Genomic DNA, 25,543 nt, shown 5'->3' on the forward strand with positions numbered 1-25,543 from the left:
AAAAAAATCTTCGTAATGATTAGCAGGGGCCCAGTATAATTTAAGGTATTCTTTGGAGTTTATAAATATGGCCTCATAAAAAGCCTGAATATAAGAGAACTGTGACTTTAAGTCATTAGAAGCCCAGTGGTTTGATAAAATAACAGGAAACAGACAATTTATTATGAGCAGTCTCAGTAGCTCTGGATTATCTATAAAACTTTTACGGCCTTCCCCAAGTGGCAAGAAGCCATAAAACTTGCCTGAATGAGGGACTTGTTAATTTACTTGTTAAAGCAAATTAAAAATTTATAAGTGCTTTTAGGTAAATGAGATCTTCTCTCATTGCTGCCCTTGCGGGGCTGGGAGTCCTAGGAGGGGAGAGTGGATATGCTTAGACACCACTGCAGAACAATAAAAGCTATTAAATTTTTCCAGTTTATTACAGCAGAGCCATGCAGCTGTTGCCATGGCTAGCTGTGGGGTACCGGTGGTTGACAGCCTGGAGTCTCACTCAAAGGGGGAAAAAATAAAAAGCCAAGGAAAGGGATGATTTTTTACTTTTATAATTCTCCAATTGTTGATGTTGTAGACCATGTCTTTTTATTTTTCCTTGACCTTGTAAATCCAGAAGTTTTAAACTTTTTTCTTTTCTTTTTTTTTTTTTGAGACAGAGTTTTGCTCTTGTTGCCCAGGCTGGAGTGCAATGTCACAATCTCGGCTCACTGCAACCTCCGCCTCTTGGGTTCAAGCAATTCTCCTGCCTCAGCCTCCCGAGTAGCTGGGATTACAAGCGTGCGCCATCACGCCCAGCTAATTTTTTATTTTTAGTAGAGATGGGGTTTCTCCATGTTGGTCAGGCTGGTCTCAAACTCCCAACCTCAGGTGATCCGCCCACCTCGACCTCCCAAAGTGCTGGGATTATAGGCGTGAGCCACTGTGCCTGGCCTTATACTGTTTTTTCTTATCCCCAGAAGTGTTTCTGTTTATTTTGTCATACATTGTTGGTCCTTGAAAATTCCTGCCCGTCATGATTCCTTTTAGTCATTTAGTCCATGGACAAAGGCCAGGTCTTAGGCTGTTTTTGTTAACCTCAACATTTCTTGAAAAAAACCTCTTTCTCTCTCTTTTCCTTTCCCATATCTAGCCACAAAACTAGGAGAAGGAAGAAAGGGAATCTGGTACATGTTCTTGTGTATTTAACTCCAAAAACTGTTAGAATCAATATTTTTTGTGGAAGCCAAAGTTTATAGGTAAAGGCAGATTTTCTTGCACTCTCCCTTGGATGAAATGTCAGCGTAGGTTAAAATTCTTGGATCTTAGCATCTTCCTTAACTTAGGGCTGTTCTCTACGTGTTGAATTTCTTCTGTAATAATAGGTTTCTGAATGGTGACTTTGGCTGGTGGGGGTCATTTTTTTGGCTTTAAGCCCTGTGACTCAGGGGATTTTTTTTTTTTTTGGCTCCCTTAAATACAATTCACAATGAGCAGTTTTCTCCCTGCCCTAGTGACAGTAAGGTTTCTGGGACATAGGAAATAGCTTATTCTTCCACTCAGATCAGAAGTTTTGATTGAGCTCTGTGGCATTTTTAAGGCAGAAAAAGACACGTTATGCCTCAACTACCTACCCTATTTAATGTTAAATTAAAATGATGGTTATTTTTAAAGTGTGTTTACATTTAAAAATTCCTCCAGAAAAGTCAAGTTCTGCAAACATTTTCTTGTAGTATTTCCAGTCACTGCACAAGAAAGGTACATTTTATTAGTTTTAAGAACAGAAATAGTAGAAAGACATAATTGGTACAAGTGTTTGTTCTTCTACAGTATTTACTCTTCAGTTTTTACATATATATCCATACCTCTGATTTGTAGTTTGTTTGGAATTATGTTTAGAAAAGCATATTGTTGGCAAGTAAAGCATCACAAAATTAAGGGTAGAGAACAGCAGTAAAAAAAAAATGACAAATATGTATTTTTAGACTGTATTCCAGTTTTAGGAGGTATCAGCTTTTAGAGATTCCTTAACGTTAAAATTTGTTTCAGTAAGTAACTCTTGTTGTGGTCGCTGTCTTCAGTATTCCAGAAATAATGCTGTATCTCTTATTCAACTTCATGAACCTCTTTACTGGCTTCCATATTAATGTCATTTGCATTTAGAGTGTGTCATCTTCATTTAGAATCTCAGCAAAAATTCTGGTTTATAACCATCTTTGCACAAATTATCTCTGTGCTTTAGGACACTTTTCTGGGCCTGGTCTTGCATTTTTTATGAATACAACTTTAAGAGTGGAACTTAAATATGTCCCCTTTTATTGGATTATCCCCATAGACCTGACCACAAAGTCTGTGGAAGTAGAAAGCTATAACGGTTGTACCATTTTTTTTTTTTTAAATACTTTAAGTTCTAGAGTACATGTGCACAACATGCAAGTTTGTTACATAGGTATACCTGTGTCATGTTGGTTTGTTGCACCCATCACCTCATCATTTACATTAGGTATTTCTCCTAACGCTATCCCTCCCCCAGCCCCCCACCCCACAATAGGCCCTGGTGTGTGATGTTCCCCTCCCTGTGTCCATGCGTTCTCATTGGTTGTACCATTCTTTTGTTCAAGAGTATCAAGTTGAATTTCATGTACTGAAAAAGTAGATAGATTTAAAAACATTTAAATTTAGGTAGCAAATGACATTGGGCCAAAGGTCCATTGCTAAGGAGACCCAGGAAAGAATTTATTACAATAGGAATATGAGGTGTGGAACCCAAGGACAGCTGTCATGAAGGATAGGTAATCACAGTAAAGTAGTGATGCTTCATATACATTTGTTTTTGTTTTTGTTTTTTTGAGACAGAGTCTCCTTCTATCCCCCAGGCTGGAGTGCAGTGGCATGATCTCGGCTCACTGCAACCTCCGCCTCCTGGGTTCAAGCGATTCTCCTGCCTCTGCCTCCCGAGTAGCTGGGACTATAGGCGCACACCACCACACCTGGCTAATTTTTGTATTTTTAGTAGAGACGGGGTTTCACCATGTTGGCCAGGCTGGTCTCGAACTCCTGACGCCAGGTGATCTGCCAGCCTCGGCCTCCCAAAGTGCTGGGATTACAGGCGTGAGCCACTTCGCCTGGCATATATTTGGTTTTAAGAGTTCAAGCTAGAATTTTAGAGTAGATGTTCACTCATTAGTAATATTGATATATGTTGTATAATGATTGCTTAATTGCTAATTTTCTTATGCTAATTGATGTTTTTCTATAAAACCAAATTCTTCAGCTCTTTACATTTATTGAATGCTATCTGGCTTATGAATTTTCATAAGAACTGCCAAAAAAAAAAAGAAAAAAAGGGGCAGGTCCCCTCCTTCCTTCTAAAAAGAGTGGTTCATGCCTGTAATCCCAGCATTTTGGGAGGCTGAGGTGGGCAGATCACTTGAGATCAGGAGTTAAAGACCAGCCTGAACAAAACAGTGAAACACCGTCTTTACTAAAAATACAAAAATTAGCCGGGCATGGTGGTGCATGCTTGTAATCCCAGCTACTTGGGAGGCTGAGGCACAAGAATTGCTTGAACCTGGGAGGCAGAGGTTGCAGTGAGCTGAGGTTGTGCTACTGCACTCCAGCCTGGGTGACAGAGTGAGACCTATCTCAAAAAACAAAAAACAAAAATTAAAGAAATAAAAATAAAAAGGTAGAGAGTATGTCTATAATGACTTTTTAATGTGTCAGGGAGTTTTTAATAGGAAAAAAAAATCATTCCACTAAAAATATGTCCTCTGTCTCCCAACTAGAATTTCTTCCCCATGTCACTGCCAGCCATTGCTGTGACAATATAGTCTCTTACTCTTTTATCAAATATTCTCCATATTATTGCTGTAAGTACTGGACAGATATCATAAGTAAAATATGTCCACCTGGTTGCTAAGAAAAATCCCACATTTATTTTATATATTTTGTAATAGCTTTACGTATTCGTTCAACCGTAACATTTTGGTTTAAAGACTTCATTAAGCTTTCATTGTCCAATAGCAAAGAAGTATGAAGTAGATACCCCTTACTTTGCAGTGTTTACTTTTTTTTTTTTTTTTTTTTTGAGACAGAGTCTCGCACTTTCGCCCAGGCTGGAGTGCAGTGGCGTGATCTCGGCTCACCGCAAGCTCTGGCTCCCGGGTTCACACCATTCTCCTGCCTCAGCCTCCCGAGTAGCTGGGACTACAGGCGCCTGCCACCACGCCCAGCTAATTTTTTGTATTTTTAGTAGAGACGGGGTTTCACCGTGTTAGCCAGGATATTCTTGATCTCCTGACCTCGTGATCTGCTTGCCTCAGCCTCCCAAAGAGCTGGGATTACAGGTGTGAGCCACCACACCCAGCCTGCAGTGTTTACTTTTTATTTATTTTTTATTTTTTGGTGATTTCCTTTTACCATTAGCTACCAGCTGTCAGGTATTTTCATATAGTTTTGGCATTATAGTTTCTTTGGTTAGATCACACACACACACACACACGTACGTATATGTATTGTAGGTATAAGCACTGGAATTTAGCAGAGCTTTTTAAATAAATGGGCTAGTCTACATGCCTTTCTATTCTTTTCCTTCTAATAATCTTATACTAATAAGATTATAGTTACAAGTCAGACAGCAATTTCATGGCACCTGTAGATTTTGAGTAAGAAATAAAACTAACTTCAGTTGATTATAGTTTTTTTTCCATCATTAATTTAATCCAAATTTCTTTAAGATGGCTAAGGTAAATGAAATTATATTCTCAATTGCTTGTCTGGTCTAATATGACCAAAAAAAACTGTTAGAGACTGCTTTAATTATTTGAAGTGTTTGAAGAAATTTGAGAGAGTATTGTAGAATTTATTCTTATATTAATGCAATTAATATATTAAGATTCAACCACATCAAATTATGTATTAGTCATCCAGAATTGAGAGACATGGTTGTAAAAATATCATTAAGGTGTGTGGTATTTACTTAAAATTTATTCCTTTAGAGATACCAGAATAATTATTTATATCTGTTTGCTAATTGCTTACTCTAAATGTTTGGTCAGTAAATCAGAAAAATATTAGAGCTATCCAAAGGAACAAACACACTGCAATGTGTTATAACATGCCTCCATTGCCCATAAATTATTAATACAATGTTACTCTGGAGGGGTAGCATAATGTTTTGGAAATAATGCACACTCCAGAATAAAAAGGCCTGAATGTGAATTCTAGGCCCATCTCTTCCTTTCTGTTTAATCCCAGGTTAACCTGAGCCTCCACTTACTTAACTCTAAATTAGTAATAATTATATCTGCCTCACAGGTTCTGAGAGGAACCTGTAGCTCAGTACAGCAAATAGTAGGCACTACCTCAAGGGCAGTAAATAGAATATTCAGTCAGGGATCCACGTTCTAGGCTCAGCTTACCACCCAATCCCTGGGTGTCTTGGTGGAGTTGTTCATCTCTCTATATTTTAGTTTCTTTGTAAAGGGGATACATTAAAATTTACTTTTCTCACTTTAAATATTTACGTGAGGATTAAATCATTTATGTACAATTATTAGAAAATTGTATAACAGTAGGCTGGGTGCAGTGGCTCACGCCTGTAATCCCAGAACTTTGGGAGGCTGAGGTGGGTAGATCACGAGGTCAGGAGTTCTAGACCAGCCTGGCCAACATGGTGAAACCCCTATCTCTACTAAAGATACAAAAAAAAATTAGCCGGGCATGGTGGCGTGCACCTGTAAGCCAAGCTAGTTGGGAGGCTGAGGCAGGAGAATCGCTTGAACCTGGGAGGTGGAGGTTGCAGTGAGCCAAGATCATGCCATTGCACTCCAGCCTGGGCAACAGAGTGAGACTCCATCTCAAAAAAAAAAAATAAATGAAAATAAAAATAAAATAGTGTAAGAGTAGACAAATGTGTACAACATTATTATCACAAAAATGAAAGCAGCTTAATGGTAATTGATCATCCTGTTTTTAAGCTACTAGATCAGAGAATGTGATGTGCCCACTTGTCCTTTACTGTCCTTATGATAGTTGTCTTTCCATGTTGGCACAATGGTAGAAGCTGCTGTCCAGGCTATTTTGGGCAATTTGAGTCAAAAATTAGCAGTTATTCAATATATACACCTTTTTTTTTTTTTTACCAGCAGCTCAATGAGGGTTTCTATTATATATCAAGGGGCTAATGTGGCATAAGTTGTTTTTTCTTTTTTTTTTGGGAAAAATCCTAACTAGAAAATTGGGTCTGTTCTTAAATTGTAAATGTGTGTACATCAAAGCCATTGTAAGGATAAATTTAAGTCTGATAGTGTACATGTGTACATAGTTTCAGTACACATTGGCGAAATATCCTGCTGATTGCTGATTGAAAACAGTTGTTAATTCTCTACTTCACTAAATTCAGAGTGGAAAACTTTCCTTAATGAAGAACAGATTGAGGAGATCCAAGACCTTACTGTGTGGGAATTAATGGCAGATGCATATACTGGTAGTTAAAATGTTTCATTAGATGTTAATGTCTTGCTGTGTTTTTAATTGTTCAGGAATTAGCCTCTAGAATATTAAAACCATCTGTTTGTTATGATGAAACAGAATGCTTAAATAGTTATTAATTTGTGTTTCTTGTCTTTTTTTGAGGGATAATCTGTAAAACTTTGATCTGTTTGGAGTTTAGGGAATTTGGAATGTGGAAGTGAAAAATAATTTTAAAGCACACCAGTGTCCTGAATAGCTGAAGTATGTCTTTTTTTTTCTCCTTACCCACTGCATATATTTTGTGTTCTTTCTCTCTTTTTTCTTAAAGGAGGGTGAGTTGACTTTTTTTATTCCATGGTGTGATGAGAATCTATTAAACAGAGCTGGTTTAATAGTTGATTTAAACTTTAAGATTATCTTCGTGCATGTGGATTATTTTACATTCAACATCAAAACAGAATTTAGACATTTAGAGGAATGAAGGACAGCTTACGTTTTTAACTCTAAGGATGTACTTTTACTACTATATTCCACTAGCTCTGCATAACTGTTGATGGCTATACAGACTACTGCTGGCATGGGTTCTAGTCTTGACTCTGCTGTTTCATGCCTTGTGATCTGGCACAGATTAGTCTTTCTCAGCTTTAGTTTATTTGTCTGTAAATTGGGAAGTACAATTTAATTTATAGCATTTTTTTTAATGCTTAGAAGTAATACATGAAGACTGCATATTTGTCTTTTGTTTTGTTTTTATAGAGATGGGGTCTTACTCTGTCACCCAGGCTGGAGTGCAGTGGCCAATCATAGCTCACTGCAGCCTCGAACTCCTGGGCTCGGGCAATCCTCGTGCCTCAGTCTCCTGAGTAACTGGGACTACAGGCATATGCCACAATGCCTGGCAGTATTTAAATTTTTTTTAGTGATTGAGTCTTGCTATGTTTCCCACGCTGATCTTGAACTTGTCCCTCAAGTGATCTTCCAGCTTCAGCGTCCCAAAGTGCTGAGATTACAGGCATAAGCACATACCCGGACCCACATTTGTTTTATGTAGTGGGCATATTAATTGCTGTCTTTCTTGATTACATGGAGCCAGTGAGATACTTTGGATGCCACTGAGAATATACATTAGCACTGTAGCTGCAAGAGCCAGAAATAAACTCTTCATTTACTGGCCTCTCCCCTGTGTTGATAGCCAAACAGTGGTGCATTTAAGTTCTTACCCCCAAAATGAAAATCTCAGCTAATGTCATCTTGGCTCTAGTTAATTGCCAGGTGTGTAGAGCTACAGTGGAGAGAACAAATCTACCTGTGCATGAGATCCCAATTTATGTCTCTGGGGGCCCTAGTATTTGTCTTTTTGTCTGTGAGTTTGGCTAAGAAAAATTTTCAGCTTCTCATAAATTTATATTAATCAGTAAAATCATGCCAAGAATTAGAAGTTTTATATAGTTGAATCTTTCTGCATCTTGGAGAAATTCCATGTGTTTAGACCAAAAATGAATGATAGTTGGGAAATTCATGGTTCTCTTTACGTTTCCTTTACCTCACTTGCCCCTCAATCAAAACTGAATTATCTCATTTCCTAAGTCTGTTTTGCGCAGGTTAAAAATGGGAGGGTCTTTATACATCTTCTGGAGCTGAGTGAAAGTCACTTGCTACATGAAAGTGAAGTTTGTTGTAAACCTTGAGTCTCTAATTCAGGTTCCTCAGAGGCCAGGCTCATAATGTGAATAAGTGACACAGGACAATGTAGGGTGTGGGGTCGTCCTTGTCATGGTGCTCCATTGACCCTTTATAACTATAGCATTAGTGCAGTTAGTGCTCTTGTTTCCAGGGGCACACCCCCTTGCTAACTGGACTATGCTGGCACTGGACGTCATATGAATGATTCATTCAGTATTAAAAGAAGAATCAGGCCAGGTGTGGTGGTGCAAGCCTGTAATCCCAGCATTTTGGGAGGCCCAGGTGGAAGGATCATTTGAGCCCAGGAATTCGAGACCAGCCTTGGTAACGTGGCAAAATCTTGTCTCTCAAAAAAATGTAGAAATTAGCCGGGCATGGTAGTATACACTTGTAGTCCCAGCTACTGGGGAGACTGAGGTGGGAGGATCACTTTAGCCCAGGAGTTCAAGGCTGCAGTGGGGTGTGATCGTACCACTGCACTCCAGGCTGAGCAATAAAGTAAGACCCTGTCTTATACCATCTCCATAGAAAGCACCATCTTAAAAATTTACCCAGGATTTCTTTTATAAAGGTTGTTGTTGTTATTTTTATTATTAAGAAATCAGTGATTGTTAGTACACATTTTAAAAGCTTTCTGTCATTGCAGGATATGTCAGAAAAAAGTTTTTGCTGTAGTGATCTTTAACAACATAAGAAAAGGAGTGGTTTTTTTTTTATACTTGTTAGGTAAAATAAATAGGATTTTTAAATGCTTCATATTATCCAAATTACATAAAAGTGGCAATCTCGTCAGTAAGTATGTATAATACTAAGAGAGCTATTAACTTTTCTTGGTAGTGGTTTTTGACCTTTTGCTGAACAAGTACTTTAAAAATTTTCAAATGCCAGGATGAAGACTTCTTAAACTAACTGTAATTATGCAACTTTTTCTTTATAATCCGATACCTCACTATCTAAAATATCTGAAATTACATATGATCACTGTTTCAAGAACAAAATCAGTGATAGCACATTTTGAAGACTATGGAATCTAAAGGCTGATTTTGTATGCTCACTAGCACACATGATACTTTTCATGTTACCATTCAGCTTTTGAGCTCTCCTTACTGGCCAATCCCAGATGAGAAGCTTTTTTTTTTTTTTTTTTTTTTTCTTTGAGACTGAGTCTAGCTCTTTCGCCAGGCTGGAGTTCAGTAGCGTGATCTCGGTTCACTGCAACCTCCGTCTCCCAGGTTCAGGCAATTCTCCTGCCTCAGCCTCCCGAGTAGCTGGGATTACAGGCACGCCCCACCATGCCCAGCTAATTTTTGTATTTTTAGTAGAGATGGGGTTTCACCTTATTGGCCAGGATGGTCTCAATCTCCTGACCTCGTGATCCGCCCATCTCGGCCTCCCAAAGTGCTGGGATTACAGGCGTGAGCCACCATGCCTGGCCTCACAATTAAGTTTATAACAGGGATATGTTATGAACTTAATATGCTTGGCTATTAATATTTGGATATGTTCTCAAATATTCTAGAACATAGGCCAGATGTGGTGGCTCATGCCTGTAATCCCAGCACTTTGGGAGGCCGAGGCAGGCAGATCACGAGGTCAGGAGATAGAGACCATCCTGGCCAACAAGGTGAAACCCCGTCTCTACTAAAAATACAAAAATTCGCTGGGCATGGTGGGCGTGCCTGTAATCCCAGCTACCCCGGAGGCTGAGGCAGGAGAATGGCGTGAACCCAGTAGGCGGAGCTTGCAGTGAGCTGAGATTATGCCACTGCACTCCAGCCTGGGCGACAGAGCGAGACTCTGTCTCAAAAAAAAAAAAAAAGTTTAACTCTAGTGTGTGGTATACCAGTTCAGTTCTGTCCTCATGGAAGTAATATGGCCTTTCATGGGATAGTCACTAATGATAAGTTTAGTGACATATAGTTTATTAAGATAGCTATGGACAGTGTAGGGGCTTAGTCTTGATGAGATTTTAATTTTTGGCTGCACTTGAAATGAACTGGGATCAAAATAGTGGCAAGTTGGATAGAGATTTGCTGTCAGAATTAATATTCAAGAAGTTCTGATAGCTTGCAACCAAAGTATTTTATATTATAACAAATTCTAGATGCTCATAATTATTCAATTAAAATGGATAAACAGTAAATATATGGGTTAGAGAAGAACAATGCTTTTTCCAGAAACAAAGTTTTAAAAACTTGTTAATATGGCAATTTTAAAACATACATGAAAGTAAAGATAACGGTATAATGAACCCAACATCATCTAACTTCAACAATTAAGACATGGCTAATCTTACTTCCTCTATATCCCTACACTTCCCCCTTCCCAATAGGTATTGCTCCCCCTATCCCCTGGATTATTTTATAAAATAAAACTCAGACTCAAGTTATCTCACCCATTAATGTTTTACTGTGTATCTGTAAAGGACTCTGCTTTTTTACTGTAACTACAACAAAATGTAAATAATAATTCCAGGCCGGGAGCTGTGGCTCATGCCTGTAATCACAGCACTTTGGGAGGCTGAGGTGGGTGGATCACTTGAGGTCAGGAGTTCCAGACCAGCCTGGCCAACATGGCAAAAAAAAAAAAAAAAAAAAAAAAAAAAAAATAGCCGAGGATGGTACTCAGGAGGCTGAGGCATGAAAATCACTTGAACCTGCCTCGGCTTCCGAAAGTGCTGGGATTGTGAGCCACCATGCCCGGCCCAAATTGTTCCATTTTTGGTCAGTGGGAACCCCTTCAGTTTGGCTCCCAAGCCCCTTTGTCAGGGTCTTGCTAGGATGACAAGGTGTTCCAGACTCATCTTACATATTTCCTTTCTCAGACCTTCAGTTGGACACTTTTAGTTTTTTCGTGTTAGAATGGGAAAAACAAAAGATAGAAGACATTTTCTATTTGAGAGTGGTGGCTATTTTAATGAATGACAGGCCATTTAAAAAGTTATTGAAACATGTTTTTTAAAAACAGAAAATCATAAAAAGTAAGTTTTGTGTGTTTATTTTTTATATTCATCCTTGAAAACCAAATAATATTGTCTCTAAATTACTTTTTAATAATCAAAATCTTATTTTAAGAAAGCTGAAAACTGTACTAAAGCAATCAAATATTCCTTCAACACATTATTTTTTACATTGTGTATGTGTATTGTGTGTGAATTTCTGAGCCTATTTGAAAACAGATTTATCATTTAGTCCATGGTTATACTCAAGGAATGCCAAATGCAATCTGTTCATTCTGGCCTTTCTCTTTAATTCTTGTACATCTTTTGTACATTTCTATTCTTGTACATCTTTTTTTCTCTATTGTTTAGACTTTTTGGTCAAAAATTTAAAAATTTTCTGATTGGCAGTTGGTTGAAAGAGATAATTTATTATCTAAAGATCTGGAATCAATAGACAGGAATGTCTGGCTTACTACGATAAAGGGTTATGGAGACCAACGTTTTATCATGCAGATAAAGCCTCCAGGTATCAGGCTTCAGAGAGAATAAATTGTAAATGTTTCTCATCAGACTTAGAGAGTCTGCTCTATTAGTAATTCTGAAAGGGAGGAGGTTATTATGGGGCATGTCCGGTCCCTGTCCCCCATCATGGCTTGAATCCGTCCCTCAGGTTAGCCTTAGAATGCCCTTGCTGAGAGGAAGAGTCCATTCAGATGGTGAGGGGGCCTTAGAATTACATTTTACAGCATAATTAAACCTAGGAATAGTATCCAAGTTGTAGATAGATATGTGAGTTATACATCAAACACTGCCTTTTACACTTCCATTTTCTTGCCTTCACATTATTAAATTATGAAGAAATAGTATCGTAATATCCTCTTGGCCTAATCATAGAGAGTAGAGTTAACAATTCTCTTGATAAGCAGTAGAACATTGTTAAGTTCTGCTGTCTGGATTGAGCGTGTCTATAGTAATGATGTCAAAGTCGGTCAGTTCGCTCTTGATTTTCTTAACTGCTTCTTATTTATGTTTGAGACTATATAGTTAGATTGATCTTGGCTTATTTTCCTTTTTAAATTTTATTAGGGCTGGGCGCAGTGGCTCACGCCAGTAATCCCAACACTTTGGGAGGCCGATGTGGCTGGATAATCTGAGATCAGGAGTTTGAGACCAGCCTGGCCAACATGGTGAAACCCTGTCTTTACTAAAAATACAGAAATCAGCCAGGCGTGGTGGTGGGCACCTGTAATCTCAGCTACTCGGGAGGCCAAGGCAGGAGAATCGCTTGAACCCGGGAGGCAGAGGTTGCAGTGAGCCGAGATCGCGCCATTGGACTCCAGCTTGGGCACCAAGAGTGAAACTCCATCTCAAAAAATAAATAAATAAACAAATAAATAAATAAATTATTAACTTAGTTTTTCTACTGCTATGAAGTCCACTGAACCCCTTTAAATAATGTGCATGTTTGGCAGCTGGAAGCACTTCAGTCGTTTTTATTTTCTAAGCTAATAGCACAATTTTAAGTCATTTCCTGTCTAATAATGCCTAAAGTGTTTATTGGGATCATCATTAACACAGGTAAATAACTTTCCAAAGTCCAAACATATCCAAAAATCCTGTTTCTTACTTTGCATTAATGAAACTTGTCTAATTGCATTAGAGTGACTTTACGATACATGAATTTCAAGGGAATACCTAACTTTCTTTCTTTCTTTTTTTTTTTTTTTTTTTTTTTTTGAGAGTCTCGCTCTGTCGCCCCAGTCGCCCAGGCTGGAGCGCAGTGGCGCGATCTCAGCTCACTGCAAGCTCCGCCTCCCGGGTTCAGGCCATTCTCCTGCCTCAGCCCCACCTCGAGTAGCTGGGACTACAGGTGCCCACCACCATGCCCAGCAATTTTTTTTTTTTGTATTTTTAGTAGAGACGGGGTTTCACCGTGTTAGCCAGGATGGTCTTGATCTCCTGACCTCATGATCCGCCCGCCTCGGCCTCCCAAAGTACTGGGATTATAGGCATGAGCCACCGCGCCCAGCCCTAACTTTCTTATTTAAAATCCACCATGGTAAGCAGAGTTCCAAGATGACCCTAAAAGTACTTGTCCCTTATTTACTCCCATGTTTTCTTATATAGCACAGTTGACTTTATGAAAGGAAGTTCTTCTGTAAGCCTGACCTAATCAAGTGAACTATTAACAGGATGCTGACTTTCTGGAGTAAGAAATTAAACTGATGGGATCTTTCCTTTCTATAATAAACTGCTTTTTTAGAATATAAGTTAGATACCATAAAATTCACTCATTGTAAGGGTACAAGCTAATTAATTTTAGTAAACTTAAAGAGTTATGCAATCATCACCATACAACATTGCCATCACCTCAGAAATTTCCCTTGTGACCATTTGCAAATTGGTAGAATCTTAAATTCTTGTGAAAAATCCTGTTAGAACTTGGTGGGCTATACTTTAATATATTATTAAATTTAATTTGCTGTGTTTCTTCAGATTTTTGCAGCTTTTTAAATTAGGAAGGTCATCCTGTAGTTTCATTTTTTGTTTTGTCACCAGATTTTGGCACAAGTTAGCTTTCCATATTTTTTCATGTTCTGGAACAAATGTTGTTAAATCTTCTTAAAAACTTTAGACTGCTTAATTATGGTTTTGAAAGTATCACTGTAGAATGTTTACTTCTGTATTTAGAAATTTATCTGTTTTTTATTTTGCTTGCCATCTCTTTTATACTTAAATGTGTTAGAGGTGTATCTCATATCTTTATGGGTTCCCCCCAGATTATACTATAGTTTACTAACTGTACAATATTTTAATTTCTAATGATGTTCTTCTCATTTTTAGAATTCTCTTCCTCTGATTTTACCTATACTTGCCTTTTTGTCTTATTTCTTTTTTGTTCATTTCAATCTTTATAATTAGGCCATTTATTTCTATTCTTTCACATTTAATAGAAAATACATTAAGTCCATGAGTTAACTTCTAGCAAAGATTTTACAACATAAGTTTTAAAATTTATATATTTATAATTTTCATTTTCTTAATTTTTAAATGTTGTATGTGTGATTTTGTCTTTTACCCAGTTGTTAATTGTAGACAGACTTTAAAAAAATTCTTTAGGTGATATGGATATTCAACATAAAATACTGTTATTACTTTTTATCATAGAGAAGTCTGTTCATATAATTTTTACATTTTGAAATTTATTCTTATATTCTTTGTTACCCTGGTACATTTTCAGTTGGTGGTAATGTCCCATAGATCCTCTAGGTGTGTCTCTTTAAGTTACCCAATTTACTGTATATTAACTAAGTCAAACTTCATTTTTTAACCTCTGCGTCCTTTTTCATTGTTTTGTTTTCTTGTTCCTTGATTAGTAGAATGCTAAAGGCTCCCACCTTCTTTTGCTTTCTTTTATTATTTAGAATATTTTTTACTTTGTATAGTTTTGTATAATGGTTTATAACTTAGAAGGGTATAAAAGGTAAAGACTGTACCTTTCATCACTATAAAATGACTTTGACAGGTGATTTTTTTACCTATTTATTTCTAACCTTTTGTCTTTTTCCCTCTCTCTTTTTTTAAATTTAGGAGTTCTTTGTAACTAATAAATAATGGGACATCAATCTGTTGATTGATCTGTATATCTATCCATCTCTCTGTCTTACCCAACACAAACCAGATTTTTATTTTTAAATGGGAGCTTAATGTATTTATATTATTATCAGAACACTTTGTTTTACACTTTGCTTTCTTGCCACTTTTCTTATTTTCTTTCCCTTTCTCTATTATGATTTGAGTCATTTTATATTTGGTAATTATTTGGAAGGCAAATATTTTTAACGTTTAAATTTTACTAATGGTTAGCTTCAAGATTATCAAATTGTTATTTAAAACACTTTCTCTAGCTGTTGTAGATGATAACAAAAGAACCTTTGATTCTGTGATCCCAGAAAAATTCCTTGCCCTGCCCTTGTGTCCAAAATTTGTTAAAATAATTTTAGCTTTTATTCACAACTTGGCACTGTACACTTAAAGATACAATATAGTTTTCTTTTTTAAAAAATAGTTTTTCTATCCAACTTTATAATTTTACTTATTGTAGTTATTTTGTGTTTGCTTATTTCGATTCATCAGCATTTTTCATTAAGTTTTTTAGTTTGGTTCATGTACCTGTCATCTGAAATACGCTTTAAAACTTAAAGAATAAAATAGTACAAATTCTATCCAATCCATGATACTTTCCCAATTTGGGGACAATTTTATCTTGAAAAATAAAAATAGTATTTTTCAAGATTAAATACTTGGCTGCTTTGATGGTAGTGTAGTCTATGGGTATATTAAAATTTTCTTGAAAAAGGAGAATCTTTTGAGCTTACTGAAACATTCCCCAAATTTTGCATAGAGTTCATTTACATTCCTACAGAAAAACTCAGCAGTCTGAAAAAGGATATGTGCTACTTTGAGGAATCAAATTTGTGGAAGGAGATTCCATTTGGACAGTCTTCTACATTGCCTGCATAATTCGCATCATTCCTCTCAAATTCCAGGCATAGATATATTCTCCACATAATTTATCCTTCTGTAAATTTTGTTTGATGGATTAATGACACCTACTGGGCAAGTAGCATCTTTTTGAAACTCTCCATATCCAAGCTGAAAAGAATGGGATAGCCCAGCTCACAAATGCCAAGCAGATGTGCACAGAATTGCTATACCTTCATGCAGTCTAGGGTGATGGGACTTCGTTACATGTTCATTAGCAGTGACATAACTGTGGATCGTTATTTTCCTAATTAGCCATTAATAACAGTTAACACTGTAATGGGATCACAATTTCAGAATTTGGAGCATATATTGTTGACAGTGAAATCTAATGAAAAACAAACTAGCTTCTTATATTTTATAAAAGATGTTAATCTCATTGATAGAATTACTGCCACTCATGCCAGATACCAGCTGGCTTTCATTTTGCATATTTTGTTCTCATTCTGGTGCCCAAACTATTGAATATATAATACTCTAATGGGAAGAAGCTTCTCACAACAGAGAGTGGGTTATAGTAATTTTTAAATAAACAAGGTCCTGAAGTATGTAAAGGCTGATGGTAAGAAATCTTACTGTATCAGTTATAGGAAAAGCTTTCTTGTAATAGCTGCCATGGATGCTCATACAAATCAATGCAAGCAGATCAATTTTTCTTAGCTCTTTAAATGTTTAAGCCAGCATCTGGCCTTTGTGATGTTTCTTGGTTGTAGGTAATAGCTGGGAATTTCAGGTGAAGGATTACAACTTCTGAGTTAGTTATGCTACCCCAAACGATCCATTGGATGTGGCTAAAATGCTAGTTTGAAACTATATTCAGCTGGGCGTGGTGACTCACACCTGTAATCCCAGCACTTTGGGAGGCCGAGGTGGGCAGATCACCTGAGGTTGGGGGTTTGAAACCAACCTGACCAACATGGAGAAACCCCATCTGTACTAAAAATACAAAATCAGCTGGGCGTGGTGGCACATGCCTGTCATGCCTGTAATCCCAGCTACTCAGGAGGCTGAGGCAGGAGAATCGCTTGAACCGGGGAGGCGGAGGTTGCGGTGAGCAGAGATGGCACCATTGCACTCCAGCCTGGGCAACAAGAGCAAAACTCCGTCTCAGAAAAAAAAAAAAGAAAGAAAATATATTCATGGGATTGGAAATGAATACTTCTTTGCCTGAAATCTTGTGGTTTAGCTTTAGTACTTACTGTAGTCAGTTCATTTCTTTGAAATATTGAGCTGTCTGACAGCTTAAAATCCTAAGTTTCCTTTAAACTTGAGCCTGGCTTTGGAGGAGAAGGGGGTGGTGTAGGGGTGGATTTTATGTAAGGCTCTCTGAAGAGAATTCACTGAAGTGTTTTTTGCTGGCAGGGCACTGGGAAGGCTAGCAGGCTGCTTCCTCTCAGTCCTTCTTGGGTTTTGCCCTTAGCCTAGATCAACATTTAGTCAGATAATTTACGTCAGGTCCACTGAAGTCTGTTTTTGTGCCTTGGTAAAGTCATCATTTTCCTTCCGTGAAGAAGCATGGAAAAGGCCCAGGTGCAATGTCCAGGTTTTGTTAAGCCAGTTGGATATTAGGAAAAGCCTTGACACTCTTTATAGTCTTAGTTCCCAGCTGGATATGTATCTCTCATCTAAGTTGGGAACTGAGTTTTTATTATTAGTTTTTTAAATAGAGACGGGGTCTTGTTATGTTTTCTGGGCTGGTCTCGAACTCCTGGGCTCAGGTGATCCCCCCGCTTCAGCCTCCCACAGTGCTGGGATTATAGGCATGAGCCACTGTGCTCAGCCATAAAGGTGTTGATCAAATATCACCTAACAAGATTATTTTCTTTGTGAACGTACTATAGTCAGGTACCACATACAAATTTAGAACATATTATGTGGAGAGTACTAATATGCTGCAGAATCATTACTTCATGTCAAATGTAAACATCTAACTGTGCACTGAGAATTAGTTTTTTCATCCATACCTTGGAGGTAGTTCTACCTGCCCTTACTTAACTCAGAATCAGTGGGATAAGAGTTTGATACTGCTTATGAATTGGAGGGCCCATGCCACATGCAAACTTTATTATCAGTATAACTATGTTATAACAATAGGCTTTTTGAGCTTGAAAAATGTGTCATAATTTAAAAAATAAATAATAGAAAGAAAGAGCTCTTCAAAGACCATAACAGAGGAGGTAAGATCTGAGCTTTAAAAAACATCTTGACATCAGAAGCACAGAGAAGGTAAGGGTGAACATTCCAGAGGGAATATGGTGTGAAAAAAATGCAGAGCAGGAATGGACAAGAAACGTTCAGGGAATGGAGACAAGGCGATGTTCATTGTAGATTAAATCTCTCCTTTATTATCAATATAAAAGTGAAAAATCGAAGAGAATGACAATATTCTGAGCTTTTATTCCATAGTAATAACAAAAGCCTCATACAACTTGCATCTGAATTAACTTAGAATGAGGAGCTTTAGCGTTGACTGAGGAGAAAACTAAGTACTTAAGAGCTCAGGAAGGATACAAAGTAAAATTAGCATCAATTTTCTGGGCTCCTTTGCAGAAGGCTTCCCGGAGAAAGGGATTTTAGAAGAAAGTGATAAAGGTGAATTTCTGGAAAGGATGATAGCAAAAAAGAATGCCTTGTTTTGGAGACTTGGGGAAAGCTGACTCTGTGAATGGTATAACCAAAAGTGAGGTCTGAACTGTAGTCTTTAAAGACTACAAGGAATGTTGATTCAGCCTCACTCTATTCATCTTGGTTTCATCTTCCCCTAGGCACCATAGCCACTTGAAATCCTGCAGGCAAAAATTTCCTACTTATTGCCTCTTCTATTCTTTGAAGTTTCCTCCTGTCTAGAAAAATGGAGCTTATGTTTAGTTTGAGATTTTCCACGTTTTCATTCATGCACCCAGCTCTAATGTTTCTTATTGTCTCCCCAAAGGAACTCTGTTTCAAATGAAACTGCTGATCATTTCCCAGCATGTTGCTTTTTCTGTCTTTGCTTTCTGCTTTTCTCCTCAATGGAGTATCTTTCACTGTCCTCTCAGCCATATGAGTTTAATCTACTTTTAAAATCCAAGGCTTCAGAAATCACTTCTCTGAACCTCCCTGGCTACTTTTTGGTTTCATTGAACATGTATTTCCTTGTGGTGTTGTATTTGCTTATCTTTTACTGCCTTTTTCTTGTTATATTGGAAACATTGTCAAGGGGCTGTGACTTGTAACCAGTACTACATTGCTTGGTGTTTCTGAAAATGTGTTTGGTGATGATATTGTAGACTAGTACTCCATATATTTATGACTTAGTCTTATGTAGACTGATGGTTTTCAATTTTATGTATTTGTTCATTTTTAATGGAAAACCAGAGCTTGTTAAATGTGTGGAAACCACTAGAACGTAAACTTCATGAGATGACTTTTGTTTTTTTTTTTTGTTTTTTTTTGTTTTTTTTTGTTTTTTTTTTTGGTGTAGTACCATATCTTCAGCACTTAGTTCTAGCCCATATGTGGCACTTAATACATTATTTGTTGAATAAGTGCTGATTTAATTTACTTAATCTGTAGGTCTTCATTGGTTCTTTTAAATATGTAGTAAGAAACCTCCAGGATGTTATCTCAATTAACAAGATCATTAGGTGCCATCCCAGTGTTTGAAGGATAACATCACAGCATCTCATCATTTTTTCCTAGGAGAAGAAAACTTTATTTTATTTTGCTCTGATTTGTTTCTTTTTTTGAGACAAGACAGAAGAAAAAAGGTAAGAAATCATAGTTGGTGTAATCTCACTTTAGTTTATTCAACATTTTTGGTCTTTTCATTATTGAAAAAAAATTGCAGTGGAACAGAAGAAAAAATTTGATGGAAAGACTGCTTTCTAATTTATGGACCTTGAGGTTTGGCTTTTTAGGTGTTTATTTAAGGCTTGCCCACTCTGTTCTCTACATTGACATTTCATGGTGAATATTTTGCTTATTCTACCCTCTGTATTTTTTCTATGGCAGCTTGCCTGGCAGTATTCAGAAACTGAGAAGAATATTAAAGATCAGAACCTTAAATTGTTCACTCTTTTTTTTTTTTTTGTGAGACGGAGTCTTAACGCTGTCGCCCAGTCTGGAGTGCACTGGTGCAATCTCAGCTCGCTGCAACCTCCGCCTCCCAGGTTCAAGCGATTCTCCTGCCTCAGCCTCCTGAGTAGCTGGGATTACAGGCACATGCCACCATGCCCAGCTAATTTTTGCATTTTTAGTAGAGACGGGGTTTCCACCTCGTTGGTCAGGCTGGTCTCAAACTCCTAACCTCGTGATCCTCCTACCTCTGCCTCCGAAAGTGCTGGGATTACAGGCGTGAGCCACCGTGCCTGGCTGTTCACTCTTGACAAGGATCAAAAACAGGAACTAAGAAGCAGACCACTAACTTTTTCCTTTTTTCTCTTTTCTTTTGCCTTTAGCTCAAGCCAGGACAGAACAGCTGCAGGGACAGTGACAGTGAAAGTGCCAGTGGAGAATCCAAGGGCTTCCACCGGAGCAGCTCTCGGGAAAGGCTCAGTGATGTAAGTTTAAGTAAAAAAAAAAAAAAAAAAAAAATTAACGAAAACCACTAGGCCACACACACACCATTGGTTCAAGTCTGAATTACATAACTTTCCCTCATCTTTAGAACTTTTTGTCTACCCAAGCATTGCGGTTCACATTATCTTTGTATACTTATTTGAGCATTGTAGTTATGGTGTCATTCTAAAATGTCGTTTGAGCAAAAATGTATTTTGACAAATCATTAGGTAGGAGGAACTATTTGTTACCTTAGAAACAACAAGGCCGGGCACGGTGGCTCACGCCTGTAATCCCAGCACTTTGGGAGGCTAAAGCAGGTGGATCACCTGAGGTTGGAAGTTTGAGACCAGCCTGACCAGCATGGAGAAACCCTATCTCTACTAAAAATACAAAATTAGCTGGGCGTGGCAGTGCATGCCTGTAATCCCAGCTACTCGGGAAGCTGAGACAGAAGAATCTCTGAACCCAGAAGGCAGAGGTTGTGGTGAGCCGATATTGTGCCACTGTACTCAGCCTGGGTGACAGAGCAAGACCCCATCTCAAAATAAATAAATAAATTCCCGTTGGATTTCTGGAAGGAAAACCTTGTGAGAATGCGTCATACCTCTTGAGATATCTGTTTGCCCTCTAGATGTGATTTTCATTGTTCTCTAGTCTGCCCACCAACAGGGCAGGTTCCCCCTCTATTACTTCTGAGAACCACCTACCCCTCTTTGGACTCTCTTACCTTCTTTACTCATATGTCATATATCAGCATTTTTTTTTTTTTTTTTTGAGATGGAGTCTCACTCTGTCGCCAGGCTGGAATGCAGTGGCACGATCTCGGCTCACTGCAACCTCTGCCTCCCAGGTTCAAGCTATTCTCCTGCCTCATCCTTCTGAGTAGGTGGGACTACGGGTGCACGCCACCATGCCCAGCTAATTTTTGTGTTTTTAGTAGAGACAGGGTTTCACCGTGTTGGCCAGGATTGTCTTGATCTCTTTACCTCGTGATCTGCCTTCTTCGGCCTTCCAAAGTGCTGGGATTGTAGGTGTGAGCCACCACGCCCAGCCATATATCAGCATTCTTAACTCATCTGTACCTCAAGAGCAACACTTGGAAATTCTTTTGTGAAATGGATCAAGTAAAGAGATTTTTTTTTTTTTTTTGAGACTGAGTCTTGCTCTGTCACCAGACTGGAGTGCAGTGGCCTGATCTCAGCTCACTGCAACCTTCGCCTCCCGAGTTCAAGCGATTCTCCTGCCTCAGCCTCCTGAGTAGCCTGGATTACAGGCGCGTGCCACCCCGCCCAGCTAATTTTTGTATTTTCAATAGAGATGGGGTTTCACCATATTGGCCAGGCTGGTCTTGAACTCCTGACTTCGTGATCTGCCACCTCAACCTCCCAAAGTGCTGGGATTAGAGCTGTGAGCCACCTCGCCTGGCTTAATTTTTGTATTTTTAGTAGAGATGGGGTTTCTCCATGTTGACCAGGATGGTCTAGCATTAACAGAATAAGTGAGAGAGTAGCACCATGAAAAAAAAGAGATAGCACTTCAGAGTGTCTGAGTATTAAGAATAAATAAAGGATATGTAATAAGAAGCAAAATCTTTTATTTTCTCCATTTTATTTTTAAAAAACACCATACTCTAAAGCAGTGTGCTGTTCATTATAGAGTGCAAGATGATTCATTGAGTTCCAGAAAGAAAATACTAGTACTTTTTTTCTTAAAAAAAGAAATTAAACTTTACTAGTATTCAGTTTAACGAGCGGGGAATAATTGATGTCTATAATTTTTAAATACGTGGATTTAAGGAGTGTATACTCAAAACTTTTTTTTACTGAGAGATGTCTACTAACATAAACGGTTGGAGACCACTCTAGCACACTGAGCAGTTCTCTATGATAATACCACATCCATCTCTCCATCAGCCAAGGTAGACAATTCCGAGATACAATCACATTTCTGCACCTCTCATGAAAGTTTGTGAGGTTTATGATGAGATGTTGTATGAGATACTGTATTCTTACAGGAATTAAATGGAATAAAGTATAATTATTTTTATGTTATTTTAATATATTAGTTATAGATAATAACCTCCCCTTCTTCTGTGATATAATATCAAAGTTATATAAATAAAGAGTACTAACAGTATTTTACTGTGTGTGTGTTTCTGTGTGTAAGAATATGTTTTATTGTGTGTCCATGTGTCTGATTAATTTTGTGATGGAGCTATACAACCATAAAACCATGACAACTTTTCTTATCTAAGTTGTTAGCAATAATAATTAATGTTTAAATAGCTGTTTTTCTGAGATTTTTGTTATACTTTTAATGTAAGATCTCATTGACTCTAGAAATTATTCCAGGGTTAGTAGGTCATATTTTTTTCATAGTGTAGAGAAATGAACGCCATGTTAGTTTAGGGGACTAGAGCTGCCATTGGATCTTTTGGCTTGTTTCCTCTAACTCACTTTCTGTTAGATAAAAAGAAATTGACAAAAGACATTCCATATTCATGAATAGAAAGACAGTATTATTAAGATGTCAGTACTACCCTAAGCTATTTATAGATTCAGTGCAATGTCTATCATAATTCCAACAATCTTTTTTTGCAAAAATGGAAAAGCAGATTCTCAAATACATATGAAATGGCATAAGGCCTTAATAACCAACACAGTCTGGAAAAAGAGCAAAGTTAGAGGACTCACACTTACCAACCTCAAAACTCACTGCAAAGCTACAGTTAATCAAAACAGTATGGTGCTGGCCTAATATTAGACATACAGACCAATGGAGTAGAATGGAGAGCCCAGAAGGGAGCCCATACTTATATGCCTAAATGAGTTTTAACAAGAGTGCCAAGACACTTCAATGGGGAAAGAATTTTCTCTTTAACAGATGGTGTTGAGAGAACTGGATTTCTATGTGCAAAAGAATGAAATTGGACTCCTACATCGCACTATGTACAAAAATAAACTCAAAATGAATCAATGACCAAAATATAAATGTGAACACCATAAAACTCTTAGAAGAAAATATACAGGTAAATCTTCATGACCTTCAATTTGGCAGTGGCTTATTAGATATGACACCAAAAGCATGTACAATGAAAGAGAAAATAAATTGGACTTCATCAAAATTAAAAACTTCTCACACCAAAGAGCATTATCAAGAAAGTAAAAAGACAGCCTACAAAATGGGGAAAAGATTTGCAAATCATATAAGTGGTGTTTACTCTACAGAATGTGTAAAGAACTACAACTCAATAATAAAAAGATAACCTAAAGCAAAAATGGGCAAAGAATTTGAGAAATATTTCTACAAAGAAGTACAAAGAAGAGGTACTTGAAAAATGCTGAAAATCATTAGGTATTAGAGAAATGCAAATTAAAACTGTAACGAGATTATCATTTTATACCTAGTAGGATGGTTATGCTTTTAAAAAGAGAATGAAAAATAAGAAGTGTTGGCAAGGATGTGGAAAAGTTGGAATATTCATACATTACTGGTGGGAATGTAAAATGACGCAGCCACTGTAGAAAACAGCTTGGCAGTCCTCAAAAAGCTGAAACATATAATTACCATATGACCCAGCAATTTCACTTTTAGGTATATACCCCAAAGAATGGAAAACATGAACTTAAACAGAGACTTGTAAGCCAGTGTTCACTGCAGCATTATTTATGGTAGTCAAAAAGTAGAAACAACCCATGTGTTTCTCAACAAATGAATTGATAAACAAAATGTGACAGCTTGGCTGATAGGCACACAATGGAATATACTCAGCCATAAAAAAGATTGGCATTGTAATATATACTACAATATGGATGAACTTTAAAAATATGCTAAATAAAAGCAAGACAAAGAAGGACAAATATTGTATGATTCCACTTATAAGAGGTATCTAGAATAGGCAAATTCATAGAGACATAAAGTAGAATAGAACTTACCAGGAATTTGGGGGATGGAGAGTGGGAGGGAGGAAAGCTATTGCTTGTTGGTTACAGAGTTTCTTTTTGGGGATGATAACAATGTTTTGGAAATAGATAGTCATGACAGTTGCTCAATGTTTTGAATGTAATTAATGCCACTGAATTACACAATTAAAAAATGATCTGTTAAAAAATGTAAAAATAATTAGGGCTGTAATAATGCTTATTCTGCTTTCACTTCATTGAAAATATGGAAAATAGTTATAACTTTTACCAGCCTTGTCTACTAATTGTGTCACCTGTGCCATTTCTGGTCCTGTTTCTATTGGTTGTTTTTTCTCTTCATTATGGGTCATATTTTCCTGCTTCTTTGTATGCCTGGCAGTTTTTCATTGGATGCCAGACATTATAAAATCCTGTCAGTCTTATGTCAAGCCAGTCAATGAAACACTTCCGATTCATATTGTTTATTATATTTTAAAATTATGAAAAAAATTTGTGGGCATATAGTAGGCGTATTGTTCATTAATTATTAAAATTCACACTTTTTGCAACATTACTGAAAAGGAAAGAAAGAAAAATGACCCAAAACGTGGACATTTACTGAAATGTTTTGAGATCCCTAGTCACATTTCCCTCACTCATGTGCAGGTCTGAGGTTGCAGAGTCCTGTGTCAAGCACTATGGCAATCTGAAATCTGCTGAGATGAAAGCTTTTTTTTTTTTTTTTTTTTTTTCCGTGACACGGAGTTTCGCTCTTGTTGCTCAGCCTGGAGTGCAGCAGCACAATCTTGGCTCACTGCAGCCTCCACCTCCTGGGTTCAAGCGATTCTCCTGCCTCAGCCTCCTGAGTAGCTGGGATTACAGGCGCTTGCCACCACGCCCAGCTAATTTTTCATATTTTTAGTAGAGATGGGCTTCACCATGTTGGCCAGGCTGGTCTCAAACTCCTGACCTCAGGTGATCCATCCACCTTGGCCTTCCAAAGCGCTGGGATTACAGGCGTGAGCCACCATGTTCGGCCGAGATGAAAGCTTTTAACAAACCAACCCACAGAATGGATCTTTTGGATACCAAAGCAACACCTACCTGCACAATATTTTAGAGAATAAAGATGCCCCATTTTTTCTTGAAAGAGAATTAACAATTAATTTATTTTTTTACTTTTATTTTAGTTTTGGGGGTACATGTGAAGGTTTGTAATATAGGTAAACTCATGTCACAGAGGTTTGTTGTGACATGAGTTTCATCACCCAGTAGTACCCAATAGTTATTATTTCATCACCCAGAATTATTTCATCACCCAGTAGTACCCAATAGTTATCTTTTCTACTCCTCTCCCTCTTACCACCTTTCACCCTCAAGCAGACCCTAGTGTCTGTTGTTTCCCTCTCTGTGTTCATAAGTTCTTATTATTTAGCTCCCACTTATAAGTAAAAACATGCAGTATTTGGTTTTCTGTTCC

General features: G+C 37.6%; 1 protein-coding gene across 26 annotated transcripts in view; it reads left to right on the forward strand.

Annotated features, from left to right (window-relative positions):
- The window catches only part of AUTS2 (activator of transcription and developmental regulator AUTS2), a 1,195,032-nt gene that overhangs the window by 499,599 nt on the left and 669,890 nt on the right, over positions 1 to 25,543 (forward strand). For all 26 annotated transcript variants that reach the window (XM_011516010.3, XM_011516013.3, XM_011516014.3 and 23 more), the window contains one exon: positions 20,059 to 20,160. In XM_011516010.3, coding sequence (XP_011514312.1) covers positions 20,059 to 20,160 — 102 coding nt within the window. The remainder of the gene's footprint in view (positions 1 to 20,058; positions 20,161 to 25,543) is intronic.

This window comes from Homo sapiens, chromosome 7 (genome assembly GCF_000001405.40).
Source record: "Homo sapiens chromosome 7, GRCh38.p14 Primary Assembly".
Lineage (NCBI taxonomy): Eukaryota > Metazoa > Chordata > Mammalia > Primates > Hominidae > Homo > Homo sapiens.